This window comes from Homo sapiens, chromosome 1 (genome assembly GCF_000001405.40).
Source record: "Homo sapiens chromosome 1, GRCh38.p14 Primary Assembly".
Lineage (NCBI taxonomy): Eukaryota > Metazoa > Chordata > Mammalia > Primates > Hominidae > Homo > Homo sapiens.
Window position 1 is genome coordinate 25,183,024 of NC_000001.11, and position 9,034 is coordinate 25,192,057.

Consider the following 9,034-nt stretch of genomic DNA (forward strand, 5'->3'; position numbering starts at 1 on the left):
CATTTCCGGAAGGCGGTAGAATACGCCATCTAATGAGAATGTGACATGAGGAAAATATATGGACACCTACTGAAGCCAGAGAACAGATTCCAGCTGATCCTCCATCTCTCGCCTTTGCAAAAACAACAATAGTTTCATCCTTCAACCACTTACCAGGGAGGCAGAGCAGCAGGGGACAATGGTCAGGAGCCCATCTCTGGCCTCACGTGACCCTGAGCCAGTAACCTGTGCCTCAGTTTCCTTATGTATAAAACATAGTCGGTGATAATTCCACGTTCCTCCCTGGGCGGCTGTGAGGATTTAATGCGACTACACAGGTTTCGGTTCTTAGCGGAGGACTTGGCACATGCAAAGTCTCCACATGCAGAGCTGATTTAGTATGGCGTTCCCTCCCTCCAGGCACCATGCTAAGTCTTGGCCTGCACCATTTCGTGAACCCTCACAACACCTCATGAGGTGGATATTTTATTTCTTGTTTTACAGAAGAGGAAACTGAGGCCCAGCAAGGTGAAGTGCCTTTGGCCATTGGCATGTAGTCTCAAAGCCTGGCAGGACCCTAAGGGCCACCCCAGCTGCCTGCACAATGCCCTCCCACGGTCCTCACCGTCCTCACCACCCTCACCGCCCTGCCTCACATGCAAAGGCCTTCCCGAGCCTTGCTGCACCCGTCCTTCATCTCTCCACCCTTTCTTGCCGCAGAGTCAGCTTGCTCTCCTGAGACCGGGTTCCAGTTATCTTAACACAAAAGCAGCCCTATTGGAGGCAGCTTCTGGGCCAGGGCTCTCCACGAGGGGTCTTCACGTGGTCAGGGCTGCCCTCACCCAAGGTGCAGCCTCCTCACAGGCAGTCCAGCCCCGCGGACCTGCCCATGGGCCTCCTGCTCCAGCCCAGGCCTGTCCTGCCTCTCTGCCCAGATCCAGGCTCTGCTGTGCCTTTTCTCATCCATAGCCCAGCTACTAATTACTGCCCAGCAAGCATGCTGCCCTCACTCCAGAACCAGCCAGCAGAGGAAAAGCTTTAGGCTCTCAAGCAGCCTCCTCAAGCCTCCTAGCCATGAGGGTGAGCCATGTCCCTTTCCCTGGCAGGTTCCCTTAGGGAGGCAGACCCAGGGATGGAGCCACACACCCTCGGCCGACCGTGCCATTAGAGATGTGTTTCATGGGAACCAGAAAGGGGGAAGTGTGTGCGTGCATGCGCGTGTGTTTCCCAAGGCCTCCTGGTGCTGTGCCCAGAGCAATTCAAGAAGAGGGATATGATAGGGGTAGGCTCCTGTACTGCTGCTTCTGGAAGGGTCCAGGGCCACCTGGAGGGCCCCTAAACATGAAAACATCTGCTTTCCCACCTGAGCAGGCAACAGTGTTTGCCCCAGGGTCAGGGGTGGTCATGGACCATTGTCTTCATGTGGTAAATGGAGAAACTGAAGAAAGGTGTGTGCGCTACATCCTGGCCTCTCCCACATCCACCCTCTCGAGCACATGGTGCACAGCCCCAGGCCTCCAGTGCCTGGGCGCCATGGACTGGCTGCCCTAGGCTCATGACGTAGCAGCTTTGCTGTGTGACCTGGAGCAAGGCCTCAGCCTCTCTGGGACTCAGTTTGTCCTTAGTCTTAGTATCAATGATGACTAAAAGGTGACAGAGGCCAGACGCGGTGGTTTACACCTGTAATTCCAGCACTTTGGGAGGCTGAGGCAGGCAGATCACGAGGTCAGGGGTTAGAGACCAGTCTGGCCAACATGGTGAAACCCCATCTCTACTAAAAATACAAAAATTAGCTGGGCATGGTGGTGCGCGCCTGTAGTCCCAGCTACTCGGGAGGCTGAGGCAGGAGAATCACTTGAACCCGAGAGGCGGAGATTGCAGTGAGCCATGATCGCGCCACTGCACTCCAGCCTGGTGACAGAGCGAGACTCCATCTCAAAAAAAAAAAAAAAAAAAGGTGACAGAGTGCTGACTGGGTGCCAAGTACTGTTACCCTCATGTCAACCTTTTGCCGAAGGGAACTGAGAAATGATGCCGTGCACAGTGGCTCACGCCTGTAATCCCAGCACTTTGGGAGGCAAAGGCAGATGAATCACCTGAGGTCAGGAGTTCGAGACCAGCCTGGCCAACATGGCAAAACCCCGTCTCTATTAAAAATACAAAAATTAGCCAGGCGTGGTGGTGGGCGCCTGTAATCCCAGCTACTCAGGAGGCAGAGGCAGGAGAATCACTTGAACCTGGGAGGCGGAGGTTGCAATGAGCCAAGATCGCACCACTGCACTCCAGCCTGGGTGACAGAGTGAGACTGTCTCAAAAAAAAAAAAGAAAGAAAGAAAGCTGGACTGAAATCCAAATACATAGGTCAGTACTGATAGACACCAAACATCTTTGAGATCATAGAGGGGAGGGGAAGGGCCCCCTGAAGGATGGAATGGGTGGGGTTTTAATCAGGTAAGAGAAGGGGGGCAGAGGCTGCTAGTTCCTTCCAATTCAACTTTATAAAATAACTCATCCAATTGAAAGCTAGAGAGCCCCCACCTCTCGCTCCACAGAAGCAAGATGCTGTCCAGTTCCCATCTCAGCACCTCCCAGACAGCCTTTCCAGCTGGAGCAGCTCCGCGAAACATTTTCCAAACTCATTAAGCCCTGCAACAATCTAATTTTGCTTGCAAAATTTCCCCTGGCCCTACCAACACTCTCTAAAATTGCTCCCCCTTTCATTCCATCCATCCCCCAGGTTTCACCAACCTCTTCCCACATCACCTGGCAAAGAGAAGGCTCAAGCATTTACTGCCTACAGCAAAGAACTTGAACTTGAGTTTGGATTTGGTGTGAGAGGGAACTACCCTAGTTTTAGCAAACAGCTTTGCCCTGCACCGCAACCCCCACCCCACCCACCCACCTCCGGCCTGATTTTCTTTAGCCAGTTTCTGTTTTCTTTCAAGGCTTGTACGTGGGACAGTTTTCACATCTACAGCTCAGTGCCAGGGCAGACCCTGCGTGGCTCTGAATCCCACCTAAGTCCCAGCCCCCCAGAGCAAACACAGAGCCGACAGCAGCCTGGAACAGACACCTTGATTTACAGTCAAGCGTAAGCTCTGCGAATTCTATTTCCCCAGAAACACATGAAAAACTTGGCTCTGTCATTTTGCTGACACAAATCTTTTTCTTTTTTTTTTTTCTGTTATTCCTCCCTCCATGGTCCCTTCCTTCCCCACCCCTCCTTCCACCCCAATCACCAGTACAAACTGAAAAGTTGCAGTTGTACAGGCAAAGAGATTGGACAAACTGACTCAACTTGAACATAATCTTCTTTCTGAAGCTGCAGCTCCGGTGGTGGGTACATTGCTTATCATACGTCAAGGGCAGGAGGAGGCATTTCCTAGCTCCCCGGCTTGCCTTTGCCCGGCACACAGCAAGACCACTCACTCCAAGAGGCTCAGCAGAGTGGAACAAAATCTGCAGGCTCTGTGCCCTTCTTAAGGAGTGAAAGCCTGCTATGAAATCCCCTACAACCCGCGGGGCCATGGAGCCTCCCCACTCCTTCCCTGACGCATTCTCCCCAAATCCCACTAAGGCCCGAGTCAGATGCATTTGCTGCACATCAAATGGGAAGGCTCCCCCTTCTCCTTCCGCCCACACAGACTCACTGAGGACAGTCCCACCATCATCCAGGGCACAGAAACGTCAGAAGCAGCAAAACCTCAGAGCAAAGCCATGGGGCCACAGAGTCCTCCCCAAGCAAGAAAGTCCCCATCCCATGTCTCAAGTCCTCTGCAAAATGCTCACTCTAGGGGCCGGGCATGGTGGCTCACCCCTGTAATCCCAGCACTTTGGGAGGCCAAGGCGGGTAGACCACTTCAGGTCAGGAATTCAAGACCAGCCTGGCAACATGGCGAAACCCATTCTCTACTAAAAAGAGACAAAAATTAGCCGGGCACAGTGGCACACACCTGTAATCCCAGCTACTAGGGAGGCTGAGACAGGAGAATCACTTGAACCCAGGAGGCAGAGGTTGCAGTGAGCCAAGATCGTGCCACTGCATTCTAGCCTGGGTGACAGAGCAAGACTCCATCTCAAAAAAAAAAAAAAAAAAAAAAAAAAACTCACATCTAAGCAAGTTGTTTAGATGTTGGAGGGTTTTGCTGTGTTGAAGGGGGGTGCTGGGTGGTTTTTGCCATTTCACATTGCCTGTTGCTTTTGGGTCAGGGACAGGGGTCACCAGCTGACTTGGGGGTATAGAAACCTGATTCGGACATTTCACACACCACAGGAGGAAAGCATCCACTTAGCAAGGGCTGCGCCAACTGGCAGGTGTTCACATCTGTCTTCAAAGGCCTTATGACCTATGACAGCATCAGCACCATTCAGAGGCCAGGGAGGGTTGGGCAGCACAAAATCTGGAGGGAATCTACAGTAGCCCCCGCCCCGCTCCCCCCCCAGCACCCTCAGGTCCACAGGGGAGATGAGCGATCTAATTAAAAGGGTGTGAGGGTGCGATGACGGCGGCAATAAGAACCTCCTGGCTCTCTGGAGGTCTCTGTCCTTCCTGAGAGCCCTAAGCGTCTTCTCAAAGACAAGGCTTATTTGTCCTGCAACAGTTCTGTGAAGGTAGAATCCCACAGAAGCTGTATCATTGAGTTCTAAGCAAAGTTGAGGCCCAGAGAGGTTAAAGGTCATGCTCGGTGGCTTTTGTCCAAGGTCATACTGTATGATAAAAAAATAAACTGAAATTGGCAGTTTCTTAAAAGTTAAACACACATCTAACATGCAACCCAGGCAGCCCACTCCTAGATACCAACCCAAGAAAAATGAAAGCATATGTGCACATGAAGACTTGTACCCAAATATTTACAGTTTTATTCATAACAGCCAAAAACTAAAAACAGCTGAACTATCCATCAAAAGGTGAATGGATAAGCAAATTGGGATATACCCTTATGCTGGAATGCTATTCAGCTATAAAAAGAAATAAATTAGGTCAGATGTGGTGGCTCGCACCAGTAATCCCAGCATTTTGGGAGGCTGAGGTGGGGGATTGCTTGAGCCTAGGAGTTCAAGAGCAGCCTGGGCAACATAGTGAGACCCCATCTCTCAAAAAATAAAAATAAAAATAAGGGCCGGGCGCAGTGGTTCACACTTGTAGTCCCAGCACTTTGGGAGGCTGTGGCAGGAGGATCACTTGAGCCCAGGAGTTTGAGACCAGCCTGGGCAACATAGTGAGACCCCATCTCTCAAAAAAAATAATAATAAAAATGAAGAGCTGGGTGCAGTGGCCACACTGGTAATCCTAGCACTTTGGGAGGCCAAGGCAGGCGGATCGCCTGAGCTCAGGAGTTTGACACCAGCCCGGGCAACATGTTGAAACCTCGTCACCACTAAAAATACAAAATATTAGTCGGGCATGGCGACGTGCACCTGTAGTCCCAGCTACTCGGGAGGCTGAGGCAGGAGAATGGCGTGAACCCGGGAGGCGGAGCTTGCAGTGAGCCAAGATAGCTCCACTGCACTCCAGCCTGGGCGACAGAGCGAGACTCCATCTCAAAAAACAAAAAAGAAATCAGACTGAAAAAGAAAAAAAACAAAGAGTACATACTATAGACTCTATTCATACAAAATTCCAGAAGATGCAAACTAATGTATCTTAGTAGAAAGCAAATCAAGATCACCTGGGGACAGGAGGAATGGATTACTAAGCACGTGAGGAAACCTTTAGGGGTGATGGAGCCGTTCACTATCTTGATTGTGGTGATAGTTTAACAGGTACATACATATGTTAAAATTTATCAAATGGAGCACTTTAAATATGTGCAGTTTATTATCTGTCAATTATACCTCAACAAAGCTGTAATAAAAGTTGTTGTAATTTTTTTGTATCTTCCTATATAAAAGCAATTTTTTTTACTTTTTTAATATAAAAAGGGAAGCCAAGCATGGCAGCATGTGCCTGTAGTCCCAGCTACTTGGGAGACTAAGGTGGGAGGATTGCTTGAGCCCAGGAGTTTGAGAACAGCATAGGCAACATCCCAAGACCCCATCTCTTAAAATAATGTTAATAATAGGCTGGGCATGGTGGCTCACACCTGTAACCTCAGCACTTTGGGAGGCCGAGGTGGGCGGATTGCTTGAGGTCAGTAGTTCAAGACCAGCCTGACCAACATGGCGAAACCCCACCTCTACTAAAAATACAAAAATTAGCCAGACATGGTGGCATGCGCCTGTAATCCCAGCTACTCAGGAGGCTGAGGAAGGAAAATCACTTACCAGGGAGGCAGAGGTTGCAGGAAGCAGAGACTGCACCACTGCACTCCAGCCTGGGCGACAGAGTGAGACTCCATCTCAAAAATAAATAAATAAATAAATAAATAAATAAATAATATGGCGTGGGGTTTTTGTTTGTTTGTTTGTTTTGAGACGGAGTTTTGCTCTCGTTGCCCAGGCTGGAGTGCAATGGCACAATCTCGGCTCACCACAACCTCCGCCTCCCAGATTCAAGTGATTCTCCTGCCTCAGCCTCCCGAGTAGCTGAGATTACAGGCATGCGCCACCACGCCCGGCTAATTTTTGTACTATTAGTAGAGACGGGGTTTCACCATGTTGGCCAGGCTGGTCTCAAACTCCTGACCTCATGATCTGCCCACCGTGGCCTCCCAAAGTGCTGGAATCACAGGCATGAGCCACCGCGCCCGGCCATAAATAAATAAATAACATGTTTTAAATGTTCTCTTAGCCTTAGTGCCACCTTCTTAGAAACCTACTTGCCATGAGAGCCAAACACAGGCTAAAACGCAAAAGAAGAAAGATGGGGCAGAGGTGGAAGCCTGTGTACCCATGGAGGCAGAGGGAGTGCCAGAGGCTGAGGACACTGGTACAACCGTTGGACTGCATGCTACTGTCTACAACTTGTCTTTCAATGGATCCAGAACATCCATCGCCATCTGATCACCAAGAGCACCTCTAAGAGATCCCCCTTGGTCACCAAAGCAGTCCCTTTTGTCCTCTGCCCTGGACCTGGGACAGCCTGGACTAGTTCTGTTCTCAGTGGTGGCTGAGTGTAACACATATACACTAAATCATCTCTTCCGTTGTCGCAGCCAAAGAATCGAAAAAAATTTAAAAAGGGGAGGGGATGACAAGTAAAAGAAGAAACACAAGGAGGAAAATAAGGTACTAGAAATGGTGTCAGGATGCAGAATATAAGCCATGCTACCTGCTAGAGGTGGGACTCAAATTTGTTTCTAAGTTTTCTAGCAGTGAAGGCAAAGAAGAGGAGGGATATTAACATGATTCCAAGTCCAGGAGCTAGAAATGAAATCAGTTGTTTAGGAAGACCCACTCCTGAGCACATGAGGCTGTTGGTCTCATAATTTCTCTGAAATAGTACATACCCATTGTCAACGAGATTCTTAATAGTGCAGGCAGAAGCTGTGGTGTGCTAGTAAATGTCTAACAACAAGCTCATGGGGTGGATTGGGTGATGTGTAGTGTTTGCCAGTTTCTGTGGTGTAAATACTCCCACCACAGCCAATTTCAAGCTACTTAAGTGAAGTCACTGAACACCAGGTAAAATAACCTCAAGAGTATAATAATAGCAAAATGTAGAAAAATCATTAGGCCGTGGGGAGTTTTGAATACTTATTGTCTTTTTAAATATAATCCAATTGTAAGCTCATATAATTTGATTTTGTTTTGTTTTGTTTTGTTTTAGACAGGGTCTCACTCTGTCACCCAGGCTGGAGCACAATGTTGCTGTCACAGCTCACTGCATCCTCAACCTCCTGGGTTCAAGCGATCCTCCCACCTCAGCCTCCTGAGTAGCTGGGACCCCAGGCCTGTGCCACCACGACTGGCTAATTTTTGTATTTTTTTGTAGACACAGGGTTTTGCCATGTTGCCCAAGCTGGTCCCAAACTCCTGGACTCAAGCCATCTGCCCACTTCAGCCTCCCAAAGTGCTGGGATGACAGGTGTGAGCCACCGCACCTGGCCTATAATTTGATTTTTAATGCTGCTGGCTCATGAAATGCCTGAAGATTGAATGAAGTTGAGCACACCAACTTAGACGCTGTGGCCAAATCCGAAGTTCCCACGTGTCCCAAGTCCCGTGGTTGGATGTGGCGATCCCAGCTGGGTGGCAAGGGAGGTGACAGAAGCCACCTGTCAGACACAGATGGAGATGGTGCTGTACGTGGTACTAAGGCTGTGCATAACAAGGAACTAGTTGGCTGCCCCGTGGGCCCTCAGGGAGCGACAGACCAGCAACCTCTGAGGATTAAGTCAGGGGCTCCCAGCTGAACACATGCTTCAGAAATGCCCTCAGCCACGGGAAGTTTCTCTGTGTGTCTGGATACAGACTCACAGGATCCAGGGCAGACAGGGCCTTCCGAGGGTAGCCCAGTGAGTCCCTAATGCATGTGTGCCGTCTATGGTAGCTCTTTGCTTGAAAACTTCCACTGCCAGGGACCTCACTGCTTCCCATCATTCATTCTCCGAGCGCATTTCTCGAGTGCCCTCTTGCGCCAAGCACTGTGTTGGCACTGACTGGACAGTGGTGATCCTCCATACAGGGAAACTTAAAGTCTCATCCAGCTGTTACAGAATGCCACTGGGGGCTGTAGAGTCCGACCCCCCACCAGGTTTTCTCTCAGCTCCACCTCCTCCCAGCTATGCAACCCTGGGAAATTGCTCACCTTCTGAGTCTGTTTCTTCCCTTGTGGAAGGAGGCTGATAGACCTTGCTGCAAAGTAATGTTTGAAATATCTGGTACAGGACAGGTGCGGTGGCTCACACCTGCAATCCCAGCACTTTGGGAGGCCAAGGCAGGCCGATCACCTGAGATCAGGAGTTCGAGACCAGCCTGGCCAACACGGTGAATCCCCGTCTCTACTAAAGAGACAAAAAATTAGCCGGGCTTGGTGGCGCCTATAGTTCCAGCTATTCGGGAAGCTGAGGCAGGAGAATCACTTGAACCCAGGAGGTGGAGGTTGCGGTGAGCCGAGATGGCACCATCAACTCCAGCCTGGGCAACACAGCAAGACTCCGTCTAAAAAAAAAAA

The 9,034-nt window shown here is 50.0% G+C and overlaps 1 annotated feature.

Annotated features, from left to right (window-relative positions):
- Positions 1,201-1,701: an enhancer, noted in NCBI's record as "H3K4me1 hESC enhancer chr1:25510715-25511215 (GRCh37/hg19 assembly coordinates)". NCBI's record gives its function as "activates a minimal SCP1, AML or CMV promoter by ChIP-STARR-seq in naive H9 embryonic stem cells {active_cell/tissue: H9 hESC(naive)}" and the evidence as "EXISTENCE:reporter gene assay evidence [ECO:0000049][PMID:30033119]".